Raw genomic sequence first — 19,894 nt, 5'->3', positions numbered from 1 at the left:
AGAACTTGATTCTGATAGAATGATGTTTTTAGTAGCTATAGTAGACCCATTTGTTAAAATGAAGAGCAGAACTAAACCACTTGTTTGGAGATTTGCCTGTACTGTATTAATTACCTTCATTCAGGCAGTTTTTGAGTGCCATTTTTGTGGTGGTGGTTAATTTTCTTTTCTCTCTTATTTTAGCTTTACTATATTTTGTTCTTGTCAAAATTACTGAAAATGAAGGTATAAAATACTTTGGTCTGTAAACAGTTCCATCATCATCTTAACTGTTGACATTTATTTTCCATGCTAAAAGATTTTGTTTGTGCCCTTAGCAATAAAAACATAACATAAATTGCTGTCTGTTTTCAGCTTAGTGAATGTATAGAAGGAGTAAAGGTAGAGCACAATCCTGACCTGTCAGTTACTGTCAGCACCAAAAAATCCCACCAGACATGGACCTTTGCTCTCACTTGTAAGGTATGAATTTTGTGCTAGTTAAAGCATAAAAGTTGTGTTTAATTTTCTGAACGTTTTTTTGACCTTTGAATCTCTGTGTTAAAGAATATTGAAAATATTTTAATCTAAGTACATTATATATAGGTTCTATATTGTACTAAAGTATATTTCTGTACTTTGATCATTAAAAGTACAATTTTAAAAATACTTTTAGATGAGATCTTTGTAGATATTTAGGGTGCTTTCATATTTATTTATTTGGTAAAGAGATCTTTGACATATTGTCTTCTAAACTTGGGACATAGGATGGGGTTCATGGCTTGTAATTAACTACTTAAAAATTGTTTATTCTAGTAGTTCTAAGATTTTTAAACCATAACAACTTGTTTTTATATTTGATATGATGAAGTCACAAATTCTGTGATAATGGGTTTTTAATATGGGGCATTTTCTGCAGTGCTTCCCATCTTAAATTATAGTAGTCAAAGTTTAAGATCGAAGCAAAGTAAAAAGTTTCTGTGAGTATGCTCAGTGGAAAAGTTTTTGTCTTTTTTGTGGCATTTCTTCTGCTGTACTTTCTGTATCTGGAGATGAAAAATCTAAGAACAGTTAGCTTCAGCCTTGAACCCAATCCAGTGCTTTCAGAGGTAACTGCCCTCTTACGAAGGCTTCCTACTTGAGGCTACATGAAACTTCTGTAGGTGAAGAGTATGGAAAGTTTGAAGGTTGATGGTTATATAGGGTGATAGCTTTTGCCACAGTGAAAAATGAACATGTCACAGGAAGAGAAGGGAGGCTAGCGATATAGCATAAATAAATAATTTTAACAACTGATTTTAAAAAACCATTCTGATTTTTTTCTTAAATGGCTATAGTATCTTAGAAGCTTGGGGAAGTAAAAGTCCCTTATGGAAATATTTTCATTGAAGAGCCCAATTACAATTGGATTTTTCACCCCCTTGTACTCAATGAATTATTTTAACTTCCTTGTAGCCTGCAAGAATGCTGTATCGTGTAGCATTGCTTTATGATGCTCATCGTCCTCATTTTAGTATCATTGCAATATCTGCCGGAGATAGTACTACCCAGGTATCACAAGAAGTCCCAGAAAACTGTCAAGAATGGATAGGAGGAAAGATGGCCCAAAATGGATTAGATCATTACGTGTATAAAGTCGGGATAGCATTTAACACAGAAATATTTGGAACTTTTCGCCAAACCATAGTTTTCGACTTTGGATTGGAACCAGTACTCATGCAAAGAGTAATGATTGATGCAGCTTCTACAGAAGGTAATATTTAGACTTTTTTCCCCCGATACAATGTGTTAAAAAGCAACATTCAAAGATATGTATTGGCCCCTGAATATATTCCATGGATAGGAAGAGAATAGTAATAAAGAAAAAAATCCCAACTTAATTGACTCATTTACTGTGTAATGGGCTTATAATGATTCACACTGTGCCCTGATTTCTTCACAGAGCCACCAGGTAAAGCTTGAACTTTGAGGTTCCCCAAACTTGTATGAGTAGATGATCAGACCTGTTTTGGTCTACCAGTTTCATTTCACAGTAAGATGGTTTTAGCACAGTAATATCTTTCAATATTAGTTTGGGTAGAATATCATTTTAATGGTAATTGTGTATATACCTACAATGTTTATTTTCATGTCCTATTGACTAGTTAACTTTGCTGATGTTAGTACATTGTTTCTGAATGAAAAGTCTTGAGTATAATAAGCCTTCATAAATCAGTTTGTGCATCCACTAGTGTTAAGGAGGCCAAGGGTGCCTTTAATCAAATCTGCTCTTTGTTTTTGGGAAGAGGTCCCTGGTTTCATCATGTAAGCATGACATAAGGAATTACTTTGTACATTGTCAATTTATTGCCTATATCTAAATTTTATGCCAAGATCCAACAGGACAAAGAAAGGACATGTTAGCCCACATTTCCTTTGCTCTTGGTTGGATTTATAGGTGTTCTATTCTATTTAACAAAAACTTTTTATTTAACAAACACTTCAAAAAGCAGAGCTGTGTGAAACTTGCTTTTGTATTGACTATAACTAACCATATTGTGGAGGACGTTTTTTACTATGTACCATAATGTCCCATTCATGAGAACCTAGAAGTAGTTTTTCTCATTAGCGAATGCTAGAATTTTATTTTTTTTCACATAGTGAAAAGGTGAAATTGGTCTGTCTTCCTCTTTACTTTAGCTGCTAGTAAGGTTGAAACAACGATGGTGCCCAAATTTAACAGTTAGGTGACATCTTCTTCTACGTGTGCTAAGATTACCCAGACTTCACTTTACCCTTATTTCCCACTGACTTTGATCCCTTTTACTTGTTTTTATTCTGTAGTATGTATTTTTGTCATCTTTTCAGTACTCTTTGGAATCAGAATAAATTAATTTCCATAGCTAAATAGATATGGTAGTTGATAAAATAAAAATAAAGTATTTGGCTTATATATATTAGCATAGTATTTGGCAAATTCTTTCTGCAGAGGGCCAGACGGTTAATATTTTAGGTGTTGCAGGGCAGGTGATCTCTGTTGCAACTACTCAGCTCTGCGTCGTAATGAGAAAGCAGCCATAGACAATGCATAAGCAAATGGGTGTGACTGTGTTCCAATAAAACTTTATTTTCAAAAACAATGGCTACATTTGACTTTCGTGTTGTAGTTTGCCTACCCCTGAACTAGTAAGTTGCTTTTAGAGACCAGACCTTGAGAACCACTAAGCAGCATCCTTTTTAAATCATAAAGAGATTTAAGTCATAAAGAGAGAACAACATACATTTCCTACTCTCAAATATAACTGTAAAGGATGTTCTTGGCTTACATGTGGGTTGTATTTTAGAAATTTGCTTGTAGGTTAGTGGCTTATAACTCAGACTCCTTTACCCATAGAAATGTTTGTAAGTGCTGTCAAGAATTCTTATTAGTTAGTAAAATATTTAATTAATAATATAAAATGTTAAATGTCTGCAGTAAAATGTAAAAGAACGATAGTATTAAAACATGATAATTAGAAAAGGTGGTGATGAAAAGGAGCTCAGGGTACTTTCATAGGCTTGAGAAGAGTAAAAGTACTTTGACTACTTCTGCCTCAGATACGAGTTACTTTTCTTGTTGGAGAAGAGCAGAGGACAAAAATCAGAGTCAAATAGAATAGGATTTGAATCCTGATTTTCGACTTATTGCCTGTGTGAGCCTGGGCAGAGTACTTAACTTCTCTGGGCTTCACGGGGAAACATCTGTAAAATGGGGCTAGTAATACCTGTCATAGATCATTGTGACAACCTGAAGCCTCGTACGACATCAGGCTCATAGTAGACGTTTAGTTAATAGTAGCTATTATGTTTATAATTAGCCTTGATTAGGATAATTTCTGGCTTATACACAAAAGGAAGAAAGTAGGAAAAGAGAAGAGTTGGGTTTTTTTTTTGTTTCTTTATTTTGTTTTTGTTTTTTAAAATGAGGACTCGGACTAGGGTGCAAGCAGAGGACTTAAAAAGCAGAGAGCCCTTGAGGCCACAGTGCCTGCAGATGTTGGCAAGAGAACACATTGTAGGAGTTGAAAGCGTAGTTTTCCAAGATGATTGATGTTTTGAGCCTGGTAGCTGGAAGAAACAAAGAATCTCCTTTCTGATATTTCTAACATATTAGTTTGAAAATTAAGTTTTACATTTCATTCAGATGTGGTAGAGAGGATTTATATAGACAAGGATATCCTCCTCTTTTTTCATAATACCATATCCTTTTTTTAGTGACTTCTTTGTAGTTTGATGTCTTTGCCTTTTTTCCTTTAAGATTTTACTTTTAAGTAGTTATGTGATAGAAAATAATTGAAAAAACTTAAGCATTTTCTTGGACTAATTTGGAAACATTAAAATGATTTCACATAGTGAAATTTGTTTAAAGACAAAGGAGAAATAACAAACAGTATGAAATCTACAAAATGCATTTTCTTATGTAAGATTTTGAAAGTTGGGGAAAGGAAAACTTAGATCTAGGTTTTAGGCAAGCTAGATGATATTGGGCTAACTTTTTTTGGTCATCAGCATAATGACTTATGCTAATTTTTAGCTCTTTGATAACTTCCCCACCCTTAAAATTGATGTCATTGAATATCTTACCATTTTGTTAACTCTTGAAATTTTTATTGCGTGACTACTTTTGTTTCATTGTGATTATGTGGAGAGTCCTAACAGAATTGTAAAGAAATAAAAGCAGAATATAAGTAGTGTAATATTTGTTTCTTGCTTTTATCTCAGTACTATTACAGTTAGTGTTTTTGATTATCACGGGAGAGTCCATGTCAGCAGAAAATATGTTTATGGGCAAACAATTTGTTTATGTGAAATTACAATTTTATAAAATGTTCTGAGACAATAAAAATGTAAAATGGCAGTGTCCTATTTTGTATCTTTTCCTGGAATACTTGTGTGGACAACATTCAGAGACATTGAGAGCAAGATAACTGCTTTGTTAAATTGGTGACAATCTGACAGCCTGGCTAATTTGATCTTCAGCCTCAGCCAGTTCATCATTGGATCTTCCTTGGCCTGGAATTAGGAGAAAAGTGTCATTCCAGGTATAAGTTGGCCAAATGCAATTGGGAATTCAATTAGGTCTGGGATCTGTCATATTTCCATATGGTTTCGAAAATATTATAAATTATAATATAATTTGGTTTTTGCATACACAAGGAAACTTAGTGATTCTGTGAAACTGGAATTTGAATGGGAAATATCTCTATTTATTTATTTATTTATTTATTTATTTGTTTAGAGACAGAGTCTTGCTCTGTTGCCCAGGCTGGAGTGCAGTGGTGTGATTATAGCTCACTGCAGCCTTGAACTCCTAGGCTCAAGTGATCTTCCCACCTCAGCCTCCTAAGCAGTTGAGACTATCAGTGCACACCACCATGCCTGGCTAATTAAAAAAGTTAATTAAAAAAGTCTTTTTTTGTAGAGACAAGGTCTCTCTGTGTTGCTCAGGCTGGTCTCGAAGTCCTAGGCTCAAGTGATCCTTCTACCTCAGCCTCCCAGAGTGCTGAGATTATAGGCATGAGCCACCATGCCCGGCCAGTATGTTCTTTTTTTTAGAGATTACTCCTTCTCAGTGGGAAATATTTATTGCATCTTCCACTTGATTGGGTGTTCATTGTTTTTAAGCAAGTTTTTGTCCTTAAATGAATGCTGGAACCGTATTTCTCTTGCATAAGTTTATAAATTTGGACCATGCTAGGCTATTAGCTTAGCATTTTCTAAATTATGTTCCACTAAAATTAATAATAACACCGAAGGTGTAGAATGCCATGTACAAATAAGTTTAGAAATGCAGCATGCATTATTTCCCTCTTAGAGACAGTGTAGCTCAGTTAATCATTGGCTCTCAGTGTCTGTCAAACTGATATGTTCATGTAACTTAGTTATGTTAGTGTGTTACTCATTGAAACTTAAAATCAAGTTATATAGCAAATGTTTATATTTCTCTAGTTCATTGTTAAGTATTGAACTAAAAATCCTACTTTAGTTAATTCAAATTTGAATTGGAGGAAAATAAACATAGGTTTTGGGTTTCTTTTTTTTTTTAAATATTACTGTCACTGTACCTAAAGCATCCAGACCTTTTCTATTCGTAGGCCATGAACAAATATTTTTTTTCTCTAGTCATTTTGGCAATCCTGAAAACTCTTTAGGAAATATGAGTGACTTTAGTTTTGCTTTTTGTAGTTTTTTTTTTCCCTTGTTGGGGAGATTCGGGTTCAGAAAAAGACACTATATACTAAAAAAGCTTCTGGACTAAGGATAGGCTTTTCAAAAATATGTGGCAAAGGCATCTGCAAAGGAAGGAAGCTAGTGAGTTATCCCCTGTTTAGAAAACAGACTGCATTCTTATGGTTTATACCACAACTTGATTAATGGAAAATTTTTGTTTGGCAAAATTGATTTGGAATTCTGTTTTGAATATCTGGAAGCAACATGCTGAAAATGAACTCTTGGAGTTAAATATGGAAACTTGATATCATTTATTTCTCTAGTTTGAGTCTAGCTATCTATGTTAACATTAGCATTAAAATTTAGTCTATCTTAGAAAGTATTCCCAACTACCAAAGTTGTTGGTAAGTTAAGAACATATTATATATCTACATACTGTTACATGATCAGAAAAGTAATAGAAAAATAGACTTAAATAGTTTGTCAATAAAAGAAACTGAATAGAAGTATGTAAAAAGCATGAGGTATTTCTTAATGCTCTTACTCTGCTGTTTTAACTTTTTGTTAGCCTCTTTCAGAGAGAGAAATAGGGACAGTTAACATAGGCAAGCTGAGAGAGATTCACCTTGCTTCCATGTGGCAGTTTGGGTGAAAGAAAGGATATAGAAATGGATCACTGAAGCAGTAGTTTGGGATTACTGTGGGATTTTATTTTATTGTTAATTTGGGCAGTCAAGATTTGTAAAGCCACATACCAAAATATTTTCTAAGGAAGAGTGTGGTATCTGATTTTGGAATTAGGAAGCATTTCATCTCATTCTCTAAGTCCTAGATAAATATAGCAGGTTTTAATAAATTCCATATTTAACACCCATTTATTACCTGCCTCTTACATGTCAACCCTTGTGCTGGGTACTTAGAACACTCGATTTCCCCACCGCTTATTTTCTTCTTATCTACCTTCCAGGTCCTGTTAAAGGTATTTTTCAAGTCTGCTATACTATATACTTCAAGACGAAACAAACCCACCCTTTGGATGCTTTATTAGAATAGTAAAGATGTGGTTGAAATGCAAGCACTGCTATTCTCAGGGTCAGAAGGCCAAGGGAAGTTGGGAAATGTATCTTGTGTTAGAGTAGTTATTTCAACCTTGAATTCTATTTTTGATAGCGGAACCCCTTCAAAAGACTGTTATCTTCAAAAGATTAGGTGTATTCTAATTATCTTTAACTTATGGATTTCTATTAAAATCTGTTTATAGTTTTTGCCTAGCACATCTCAGGGTAACACATTCCATAGGTCTGTAATTTCTGTCAGGTTTGCTTTGAGATTTATTATTGTAAGAATTGGTTAATAAGTCACTGTTAAAGTTAAATTCCTAAATGGTTTTATGAATATTGATCCTAACCTGCTCACTTCTCATCTTTCTGTTTTTTTTGATACTGAGTCTTGCTTTGTCACCCAGGCTAGAATACAGTGGTGCAGTGTTGGCTCACTGCAACCTCCACCTCCTGGGTTCAAGCGATTCTCCTGCCTCAGCCTCTGGAGTAGCTGGGACTACAGGCACGAGCTATCATACCCGGCTATTTTTTTTTGTATTTTTAGTAGAGATGGGGTTTCGCCATGTTGACCAGGCTGGTCTTGAACTCCTGACCTCAGGTGACCTGCCTTCCTTGGCCTCCCAAAATGCTGGGATTACAGGCATGAGCCACTGCGCCTGGCCACTTCTCAATTTTCCAGTGTTTTTCACTTTAGCCTAATCTAGGCTGAAGAAAACGCATGCCAAGGATGCACTGGCTCAGGCTGCCCTGAGTGCTGAGGTGTTAGCAGGTACGCATGTGCTGTAGGTGGAGATGACAAAGAGCCCCAGTAGGAGTCATGCCCAGTGTCCCCATAAGGGACCCACATCCTTCTGCTATTTATGAGGTGACCTTTAAGCACTGTAAGTTAGGTGGGTCATTAAATCAGTTTAGTAAGTTTCTTTGTACAAGTGAGAGGAATGGAGCTGGAAGTTTGACTCAAATTCAGATGAAGTAGGGAAAGAGAAATGGGTTTTGCATACCGTATCCTTAGTAGTAGTCACTGGCCATAGTTCATTTTTGACATCCGAGTTAAAGACTTAGATCAGTAGTTTGTAGGCTTTTTGTTGCTGGAATATGTGGATTTTTTTTTCAAGATTCTTTTTGCTCCCCTAGTTTTCCTTTCCCCTGCACTGTGTTTAAAGTCATTAAAAAAAGTAAATGGAATAAAATTTAGCATTGTTGGAGAATTGTTTTGAAATTACTGTGCTACCTGCTAAAGACACTTAACATTTAATTTTTAATTTTTATGGATACATAATAGTTGTATACATTTATGAAGTATGTGTGATATTTTGATACAAGCATTTAAGAGTTTCATAAAATCCAGGTGGGAATCAGGGTACTATATAGATAATGAGAAAAACAAATACTGCTATTGCTCATGCCACTTTTCCCCAAAAGCCTGAATACTGTTAACCCAGAGTAGAAAAGCTTTCTGCATTTTGTTTGTATATTAGGTAGGTGAATCAAAAAGCATTTTCCAGGGAAAGCTCTGTCATTTTAGGTTTGTTCTTGTCTCAGCTACTTAAACATCAGTTAGGAATAACTAGTGACTTTTTAAAGTATATGAACATAATAGTAATCTAGGCACAGTCTGAATTAATTTTTTTAAAGTGAAATGTAAAATAAAATTATGAAATATAATCTCCCCACCACCAAAGAGTAGTTAGACCTCCTTTAAAAGCTACATACTAAATAGATTCCTTACTATTATGTAGAGTTTAGTATTTATTTATTTATTTATTTTTTGAGACAGAGTCTGGCTCTGTCGCCAGGCTGGAGTGCAGTGGCGCGATCTTGGCTCACTGCATCCTCTGCCTCTTGGGTTCAAGTGATTCTCCTGCCTCAGTCTCCTAAGTAGCTGGGATTACACGTGCATGCCATCATGCCTGGCTAAAATTTTTTTTTTTTTTTTTTTTTTTTGAGATGGAGTCTCACTCTGTCGCCCAGGCTGGAGTGCAGTGGCGCGATCTCCGCTCACTGCAAGCTCCGCCTTCCGGGTTCACGCCATTCTCCGGCCTCAGCCTCCCGAGTAGCTGGGACTACAGGCACCCGCCACCACGCCCAGCTAATTTCTTGTATTTTAGTAGAGACTGGGTTTCACCGTGTTGCTCAGGCTGGTCTTGAACTCCTGAGCTCAGACAATCCACCTGCCTCAGCCTCCCAAACTGCTAGGATTACAGGTTTGAGCCATTGTGCCCCGCAATTTTTGTATTTTCAGTAGGGACAGGATTTCTCCATGTTGGCTATGCTGTTCTGGAACTCCTGACCTCATGTGATCCTCCCGCTTCAGCTTCCTAAAGTACCAGGATTATAGGCGTGAGCCACCGTGCCTGGCTGTCAAAGTGATTTAGGAAGAAAATGTGGTTAGTGTACATTAGGAAACTTCTGCTTGTGAGGCTATTGCAAAAACAGACCATCAATCCAGAGTATTTTTTTTAATGATAGTTAATTTTATCGTATATTTTTATTTTATTTTTTTAGAGACAGGGTCTCACTATGTTGTTCAATCTAGTCTTGAACTCCTGACCTCAAGCGATCCTCCTGCCTTGACCTCCCAACGTGATGGGGTTACAGGCGGGAGCTACTGTGCGCAGCCCCAATCCAGAGTATTTTTAAAGTGCAAGTTTTTAATAAGCAGACCATCTTTACATTTGATGGTTATAATGGTATTTGTGTTGCCCTTTGAGAAATAAAACTGGCATGTGAAAATGGCTTTTCAAGGAGCAAAGGTTAGAAATTACTAAGATTATTTGGATAAGCTATTTGCCACTATTGAGACATTAATCTTGGTGAATGACTAGGCTCATGTTTATAATATATATGTAACATTTAAATGTTGCCAAATCTCTCACTAAAAAAGACATGGCAATTGTGCATTATGTTGTCATTTCAAAGATAGTTTAGGATAATTTGTACTTTGGAGACTGATCTTTGTCTAACTTTTAATTATTTCTTCCTAAAATTTTAATCTGAGTTGTGAAACCGTTTTTCCAATTATGTTATGTCAAAGTCTTGGTGTAATGTATCAGTAAGGTTACATTTTTTTTTTCTTTTGGTTAAGTTTTCTTTTTTAGGTATATGTATGTTTCACTCAATAGAAAAGTAATACGCACTACATATAGAGTGAGCCAACCCAGTGCTCAGAGTTTATGTTACTATGGATTTCATCTTGTGCTGGTATTGTGCTACTTTTTTTCCCCTGGTATGTCAGAACTTGAACAGTCATTTGTTTTGACATTGTGCCCTACTTACAGTATAATTTAACGAAGGCTAACCTGGATTTTTTGGAAATGACATTTGAATGGCATTGTACTGCATTTTAATAAGGACTTAGCAGTGTTTTACATTAATATTTTCGAAAAGATTTTTGTTTATAGTAAGTTGACTTAAAGATACTGTAGTTTCATTGTGCTTTATCACACAAGAAAAGATTTAACCTTTTACAGTTTTTGATCTTCTCTTTCTATAATGGGATGGGTATTGGTAGTAGGAAGAGAAAGTGATTATCATCTGATAAAACCTATGAAGAATTTATCATATCTTTTTCACGCAGATTCAAATTTCTCTTGACTGAAGAGTTAAGTTCTAAATGTTAATCTGTATTTTAAAAATGTTAATTTCTAGTATGTCCTAGCCTGATAAAAAGTTTTTTTTTTAAACATGGATTTATACTAATGTTATTTTGTTTTGTTTTGTTTTTTGATATGGGGGAAATAGTCAATGGGTATTTGCATTGTTTTGTTTTTAAGAATTTGAGCTCTAGCATATACAATTCTCATACAAAAATATGTAATATAGTTAAGAATTTTAATGTTATTTAAAAATTTTAATGTTCTGTTTCTTTATAAATGTGTTTTTTGTTTCCATTTAGATCTCGAATACCTGATGCATGCAAAACAGCAGCTAGTAACCACAGCTAAACGTTGGGATTCTTCCTCTAAGACTATTATAGATTTTGAACCTAATGAAACTACTGATTTGGAGAAGAGCCTTCTTATCAGATACCAAATTCCCCTCTCTGCTGACCAGCTATTTACTCAGTCCGTTTTAGACAAATCATTGACCAAGAGCAACTATCAGTCACGGTTACATGACCTTCTTTATATTGAGGAGATAGCCCAGTATAAAGAAATCAGCAAGTAAGTTACTTTAGAAACACTTTAAAACAAAAAATCTCCCCTTTGGATGGTATTTCTAATCTTTAAAATGAAAGTGTGCCTAAGTGAAGACAGGTAGTAAATGGTTGTTATTGAATAACTGTATTCTATCTTTAAAGGAAATATGAGCTTCTTAAGGCAAGAACTGTCTCATGCTCACCATGGTATCCCTGTTATTTAGCACATAGTTCATTTCTATAAGACCTTATTAAACATCTATTAGGGGACAAGCTCTTTGCCAGATGCCGGGAGTATAAATCCGTGGTTCCTGCTCTTAAGAAGCTTTCAGTCAATGGTAGTCATAGCAAGCACTGAATGAGTATTTGTTGAACAGATATACAACAACCGAAAGAGACCACATATTTTGAAAAGTTGTTTTAGGAATGAAATTATTTAGATTTTCAGGAAAACGGGTTAATAAAACAGCTTTATAGCAGTTTATAAATACGTTAACATATTTTACATTTTATCCATATGCCACAGGTTAAGACCAAGTGCTTAAATCAAAAGCTTATTTGAATTATTTTAGGAAAAATAATCTCAGAAAAGAAAGTTAGAGTGAGGGAAGATTAGTGAAATAGTTGTATTTGGTAGTAGCTTTCTATTAATATATTTTAGATAAACTGGAGACAAGCCTTAAAAACTGAACCACAATTATGAGACCTGAATACATTTTTATAAGTAGTTTTACTTTTAAATACAGCTGAACCAGCATATTTTTCTTCTCCAGGATGCCTTATGGTTCCTTATCATTAGTATTATTAATAAATACTGAACACTCATTAAGAGTATATTCAGAAAGGAAAAGAAAGTGAAAACTTATAGATATTTTGGTCACCCTATTTATAGATTAGTTATGATCTAACTTTTGAAAATACCTAATTTCAAATTAAATACATGTAAAATTTACAAAGTCAGATGGAATCTATTTTTCATTACTCTAAGACTTTAAATCCTGGCCCATTGATGGTGTCTTAAAAGGCTTTTTTTTTTTATCAATTGTGTCTGTAGGCTGTTAAATAAGAAGGACAGTGGGTTATATCATCTATATTATTTATATTATCATGGATTCCTTTTTCTTAGGAAAGAACACCATGATAAATCGTAAATATTGGGATTAAATATAATTTAAAAGCTTACCAGAATCCTGGAGACTATTTTTGAGTATCATAGTAGGAATTCAGAAAAAATTATATATTAACTTTTATTTGTTTAATATTTTATTAAGGTTGATAAATCATTCCATTACTTTAGAATGTGCATGTGAAGCCTAAAAAGCTTAGTATTATTATATTCAAAATAATCTTTTAAAAGTGGAAACTTGTCTGGATGGAAAAAAGGAGAAACCCTACAAAATTGTAGAGGTTAAATACTGATCAAGTAACTAAGGCTGGGTGTGGTGGCTCACACCTGTAATTGTAGCACTTTGGGAGGCTGAGGTGGATGGATTGCTTGTGCTCAAGAGTTTGAGACCAGCCTGGGCAACATAGTGAGACCTCATCTCTACAAAAAGTTAAATAATCAGGCATGATGTGGGTCAGTTTGAGGTCTGAGGTGGGAGAATCGCTTGAGCCCAGGAGGTCTAGGCTTCAGTGAGCTATGATTACATCACTGCTTGGGTGAGAGAAAGAGAGACCCTGTTTCAAAAAAAAAAAAAAAGAGAAACTGAATAGTTGAAAGTGCACTCTATGAGTACCTTGCGAAGGCTTTCAAAGCCAGTATGAGAGGGCCTTAAAAATATTAGCACTGATGGCAAACTAAGTTGGTGTGATCTTTTTAAAAAAAATTATTACTATTTTGAGACAGGGTCTCACTCTGTCACTGAGGCTGGAATGCAGTGGCATGGTTTTGGCTCACTGCAGCCTCAACCTCCCGGGCTGGGGTGATCATCTCCAGCCTAACTGGAGACGCTGAGTGGCTGAGACTGCAGGTGTGCATCACCATACCGGCTTCATTTTGTATTTTTTGTAGAGATGGGATTTTGCCATGTTGCCCAGGGAAGATCTGGAACTCCTGGGCTCAAGTGATCCACCCGCTCTGGCCTCCCAAGGTGCTGGGATTACAGGCATGAGCCACCGCCCCTGGCCCAGTTTGTGTGATCTATCTGGAGAGCTGTTTGGCAGTTTGTATCCAGGACCTTAAGTTTGAATCTTTTGGTGTGGAAATTCCACATATGGGGGATCATAAGCAATAATCAGAGTCAAAGATGTCTGGACACATGTCTTGCAAAGAGTAGTGAAGAATAAGTTAATTATGATATAGCTATATGATTGAATGTTATACAACTTGAAATTATGTTCTTGAAGAATTTTTAATGCAGTGATGATGCTCATGATATAATATTAGGGAAGAAAATATGCTAGTTATAATACCTTATTGCCATTCTAATTTTTTATAGATGCCTATACACATACGTGTATGTATTTGTGTATAAAAATGTTGGAAAGAATGAAAGCAAAATGTTCTGGTTGGTAGACTAACAGCTGATTTTTATGTTGTAATAGTTTTCTCTACTTTTGAAATGTTCCATAATGACCATATATTCCTCCTATAATTAAAAAAATTTAAAGGAAACTGGTACATCATTAGTGGCAACACTTGCTGCTCATGGTGTAAAAAAGCCCTTAGGTATGAAAAGAAGAGATTGTGGTACGGCAGTGGTAAGATAGTGTAGAGTGTTTTTATAGGAACTTCTGAGCTTTCTGTTTTTTTAATCTTTAAAGTTATATCATATTTATTGACTCAAATAGGGATATTTACAAAATGTAAATCAGCTGGATCAGTATTGATGTGTTCTGTACACAACTACACAAGAGTTTTGAAGGATCTTCAAGATATAACTGATAATTTATTGCGACCTGCCTAACATGTGACAAGTAGTTACTGTGCTAGAGAATTCTGGAATTTCTGGTGATACTCTCACCTAAAGGTAACCCTGGATATGAAGGCTGGTAAATTAAATTTCTGAATTTGGCAGGCCTATAAATGTTAGTGAAGTGTGGTGCAGAATTGGTACACATACAAAGAAACAGATCCTATAATAATTAGATAGAGTTCTCAGAATGCATCTATAAGCAAGTAAACATAGATTGTGAAGATTTTCAAAAGTCTGTGACAGACATTCATATGTTGCTTAAAAGAGTATTTTGTTTTCTTCTTCACTCTTTAAACTTAATATTTATATGCATTTTAATGTTGCCTTGAATTTAATTTACATTTGATTGTTAATTCTTTATAAATAAAATAACTAAGATATATTTTTGAAAATTTTGGGGGAGGTGTCTATGCAGCTACTAAGCTATGGTGTAGTGCAGGGCTCAGTAACTTTTTCTGTAAAGGGTCAGATAATAAATATTTTAGGCTTTGAGAATTTCATACAGGCCTGGTTGCATTTCTTCTTCTTTTTTTGTTTTTGTAAAATCCACTGTCAGTTAAGGGCTATACGGAAACAGTTTGAAGGTTGGCTTTGGGCACATCTTTGGGCTGTGCTCTAGTGTGTGTGACTGGGCCATTTTGCTTGTCTGTTCAATCAATACCAGTCATCAGAGCAAACCCAAATCACCATTAGAATCATGAAGAATGTTTTGTTGTGGTTTGAGACCCAATTTAAAGGTAGGAGACAATGGTATGCTTATATAGACTCATCTCTCTAAATGACTTGGACATGTATTGACAATAATAAGTGTGTTCTGAACACATTGAAGTTTGCCTCTTTGTGACATCGTGGTCAGATCTGCTGCCACACAATTAGTAGGATATTTCCCAAGGTCCCGAGAATGTATGAGTCCTCTGTGAACTTTGACAGTTTAAGCAGAATATTTCTTTTTTTCTTTTCTTTTCTTTTAAATGGAGTTTCGTTCTTGTTGCCCAGGCTGGAGTGCAATGGTGCAGTCTCGCTCACCAGAACCTCCGCCTCCTGGGTTCAAGCGATTCTCCTGCCTCAGCCTTCTGAGTAGCTGGGATTACAGGCAAGTGTCACCATGCCCAGCTAATTTTGTATTTTTGGTAGAGATGGGGTTTCACCATGTTGGCCAGGCTGGTCTTGAACTCCTGACCTCAGGTGATCTGCCCGCCTCGGCCTACCAAAGTGCTGGGATTACAGGCGCGAGCTACCATGCCTGGCCAAAGCAGAATATTTCTAATCACGAAAGTAGTATCAAGGGGCTTCATACTAGTTTCTTACATTTTGATGGTAAGGGTTGCAAGAGACTGAGGCAGGAGGATCACTTGAACCCATGAATTTGAGGCTGCAGTGAGCTGTGATTGCACCACTGTGTTCCAGCCTGGGCAACAGAGCAAGATCCCATCAGACTGTGCCTTTTACATGGTCATTTTAGCATTTCTTCCTAGAAAGTAGATTGAAAAAAGGCTCTCAAGATTAGATAAAATACATTTTGGTTTGAGACTGGATTTAATAATCTATCTTTTTTTTTTTTTTTTTAAAGGATGATTTTTTTCAAAGCAGTCCAGAAATTTCTTCTTAGGTTGTTTTAGTGTGAGATGTGTGTACGTGATAAAGATAATACTATATTTCATATAAGTTTTAGAAAATGCTTTTCTTTTGAGATTTGTTTTACTTCTCTTATCCTCAGTCACATGTTGGTGTGTGTTCAATAATGATTCTACTTTGAAGTGAAATCTGTTTGATTTTAAGAGATACATTTTCAAAGGAAATGTGCTTTAGCTGAAGCTATTGTGTCCATTAAACTGTGCATGCCTCATTGGGTCATTGTGCCTGGCTTCTCAGTGCTAACAGCTGGCATGACAGGCCTAGTATGGGGTGCACATTTCATCGTTAGATGGGTGCTGCTTCTGTTGGTGACAGGCCTAGTGTGGGGTGCACATTTCATCGTTAGATGGGTGTGGGGTGCACATTTCATCGTTAGATGGGTGCTGCTTCTGTTGGTGACAGGTCTAGTGTGGGGTGCACATTTCATCATTAGATGGGTGCTGCTTCTATTGGTGACACCTCAGTTCTGTCGCTCTGCTTTAGTAAACTCAGGGATTGTTTTATTACTTTGTTAGATTTTTATTGTTCATATAGTCAGAAATCACATGAAATGAAAACCCTATATAGGTTTGAAATTTTTTGAAAGTTGCACTCAAGAGATGGAATTGTTACTAAGGTTGATAGAGCCATATTTCTCATTAGCATGGAAGTATCTTTTTCAGTCTATTGAGTGTTCAGTTGGCTGTAATTCTGTCATTCCCTAAAAGGTTAGGGAATTATGTAAACTTTAAGGATGATTTTAAAATGTAGCATGCAACAATGGAAAGATGGTTTTTCTTCTTATTAAGAAATATCTTTCTTAATTGTAGGATATATTTTCTAGTTTAGGTATTTCTGAGTTACTAAATTTCAAAAAGTACATATTTTAATATTTAAGATTACTAACATAATTTTAGTTTTAGCCTGTTAATCTTTTATACAAATTAATTATTAGTATAGCTATAACCTTTACTAGAAAGTCTATAATGTCTGCATCTTGAACATGTGATGAATTTTCTGTGGGAAAAGCTGCATTTCTTAGGACTTTTATTTTATTTTATTTCTTAGCACTTCTGGTGCCTCTACCTCAAGAATTTTGTTGCAAGACACAACCAATGTCACAAGAGGATTCTCTTGTTGCTCTAAACTGTGAGATTAACTTTTCATGCCTGCTAAATTGTGATCAAGTGTTTTGGGATGGTGATTCTCAAATAGACATGAGTGAAACTTTAATATATGGCCTAAGGCCTGGGCGCAGTGGCTCACACCTATAATCTTAGCACTTCGGGAGGCCCAGGTGGGCAGGTCTTTTGAGCCCAGGAGTTTGAGACCAGCCTCGGCAACATGGCGAGACCCCATCTCTACAAAAAATACAAAAATTAGCTGGGCGTGATGGTGTGCACCTGTGGTCCCTGCTACTCAGGAGGCTGAGGGGAGGATCGCTTGAGCTCAGGAGGTCAAGGCTGCAGTGAGCTAAGATTGTGCTACTGCACTCCAGCCTGGGTGACAGTGAGACCCTGTCTCAAAAAACAAAACAAAACAAAAAACTATTAAAAAATATATGTGGCCCAAGATAGTTGAGAAATATATGACAGGATTTCAAGAATATGTTAGGAAATAATATAAAGTGGCTAAAGTGGGAATATGGTGCTTGGGAAAAATCAGATTATTAGAAAAACATAAAATTAATTCAATGAACAAAATTTATGGAATGTTGAAGGTGTTAGGTTCTATGCTAGTCACTGCTGATTTCTAAGGCAAGCAAAATATGTTTCCTTGTCCCCCAAAAGTTTGTAATCCAGTAGTGGAGGCAGACTCATAAATACAGGGTTATAATAAAATGTGCTCAGCACTGCACTGGAGGAATGCACAAGGGCCCCATGGAAGAGGCACTTTCTCATCTTAGTGGAGAAAAGGAGGGTAGTCAAGGAGGGGCTCACATCTGCTTTCTCAAGCAGATGGAATGTAAGTTGAACTTTGAAAAACAGGTAAGATTTGTCAGGTTTAGAAGTAAGACAAGGCTGGGTGTGGTGGCTCACACCTGTAGTCCCAGCACTTTGGGAGGCCGAGGTGGGTGGACCACCTGAGTTCAGGAGTTCGAGACCAGCCTGGCAAACATGGTGAAACCCTGTCTCTGCTAAAAATACAAAAAATTAGCCTGGTGTGGTGGTGGGCACCTGTAATCCCAGCTACTCGGGAGGCTGAAGCAGGAGAATCGCTTGAACCCGGGAGGTGGAGGTAGCAGTGAGCCAAGATGGGGCCATTGAACTCCAGCTGGGGCATCAAGAGTGAAACTCCGTCTCAAAAAAAAAAACAAAACAAAACAAAAGAAGGAGGACAAAAGTATTTGGTTAAAGGAAACAGGATGTGAGAATAAGAGCATAGAGTTTTGGGGAGCTGCCAGTTGATTATTATAGTTGCAATGGAGGGTGCTTGTGTGGTGGGGACAGGGTAAATGAGAGAGAAACTCTGTCCTCAGAGCTATAGAAAGCTACTTACCAGATTTGCATTTTTCAGAGATCCTCTGATGGGGGTGTGGAGAACAGATTTGAGACAAGAAGTCATGTTAGAAGTCTATTATAGTAATCCAAGTTAAAAATGTTGGGATGCAGATGAATTAGGAAGGAGGGGAACTAACAGGGCTATGAGGAAGTAACAGGGCACAGTGATTCTGTGATGTGTGAATGAAGGTTGGTAAGAGAGGCAGGGTCAAGGATGACTTGATTTTTGGTTGGCTTGGATACCTACGTGGATGACAGTGCCATTTTCTAAGTTGTTAATACATGGGAAGATTGGGTTGGGTCACACTGGGGAGGTCAGGTAGTCAGTTTTGCATATACTGAGTTTAAAGGGCATGTAATCAAAAGTGTCCATTTGACAGTTGGATTTACAGCCCTGAGCTGGGAGATCTGGGAGAGGGTGACCTATCAAGAACTTACAGAGTAGAAGGAAGGCAGGCTGGAGCTTATAGAAAATAGTTGGTGCTTAGATGGGAGATGGAGAGCAGCTAGGAGAGGTAGGAAGAAAACTAGGAGAGTATTACCATACAGAAGTCCTTGGAAGAGGGAGTTCAAAGGTAGAAGACATTGACTGTATAGTGAAAAAAAAAAAAAACTGTACATCATCTTAGCAAAAAGATTCTTTTTGCTATGATTCTTTGTGAATCAAGAATTTCTTGCACTATAAGTAATCTCCTCCCTCTGAGAAAGTTTTAATGACCCCTAAACTCTGCATATTATATAGGTAGTAAAAGGAAAGTAAAATTTTAACTTCATTTGAGAAAGCATGAAATAAGTAAGGGTTCCTGCTCTTTTTTTTTTTTTTTGAGATGGAGTCTCACTCTGTCACTGAGGCTGGAGTGCGGTGTCGCTATCTCAGGTCATTGCAGCCTCTACCTCCTGGGTTTAAGTGATTCTCCTTCCTCAGCCTCCCTTGTAGCTATGGACTACAGGCCGGGCCATCACGCCCAGGTAATTTTTGTGTTTTTAGTAGAGACAGGGTTTCACCATGTTGGCTAGGCTGGTCTTGAACTCCTGACCTCAAGTGATCTTCCCGCCTCGGCCTCCCAAAGTGCTGGGATTACAGGTGTGAGCCCCCATGCCTGGCCTCCTGTTCTATTTATTTATTTATTTAGTTTAGAGACAGAATCTCGCTCTGTTGCCCAGGCTGGAGTGCAGTGGCGCGATCTCAGCTCACTGCAACCTCCGCCTCCTGGTTCAAGCAATTCTTTTGCCTCAGCCTCCCAAGTAGCCGGGATTACAGGCATGTGCCACCACGCCCAGCTAATTTTTGTATTTTTAGTAGAGACGGGGTTTCACCAGGTTGGCCAGAATGGTCACTCCACATAGACTTCAAAGGATGTATTGAACAGTCTGAGGGCCCAGGCGGAGACTTGGTGCAGAGGCAGAGCCACTGTGCAGAGTCCCCACTAGGACAGTGCTTAATGGAGCCCTGGGAGTGGGCTAGATCCTGAGACTCCAGAACTGAAGGGTCAG

General features: G+C 36.8%; 1 protein-coding gene across 10 annotated transcripts in view; it reads left to right on the top strand.

The window, feature by feature from the left end:
* The window catches only part of HELZ (helicase with zinc finger), a 175,546-nt gene that overhangs the window by 55,939 nt on the left and 99,713 nt on the right, over positions 1–19,894 (top strand). For 5 of the 10 annotated variants that reach the window (XR_001752712.3, XM_047437225.1, XM_047437224.1 and 2 more), the window contains exons 11-13: positions 355–462; positions 1,435–1,732; positions 11,125–11,392. Coding sequence is in view for 9 of the 10 variants with exons in the window: in XM_047437225.1 (XP_047293181.1) it covers positions 355–462; positions 1,435–1,732; positions 11,125–11,392 (674 nt within the window). In the remaining variant the exon portion in view is untranslated. Of the gene's footprint in view, positions 1–354; positions 463–1,434; positions 1,733–5,015; positions 5,040–11,124; positions 11,393–16,967; positions 17,049–19,894 lie in introns of those variants that run through there. The other 5 variants (XM_011525544.2, XM_005257888.6, XM_006722214.5 and 2 more) reach the window with 2 other exon arrangements.

This window comes from Homo sapiens, chromosome 17, assembly GCF_000001405.40.
Source record: "Homo sapiens chromosome 17, GRCh38.p14 Primary Assembly".
Classification (NCBI taxonomy): Eukaryota; Metazoa; Chordata; class Mammalia; order Primates; family Hominidae; genus Homo; species Homo sapiens.
This window is presented reverse-complemented; position numbering and strand designations above follow the sequence as displayed.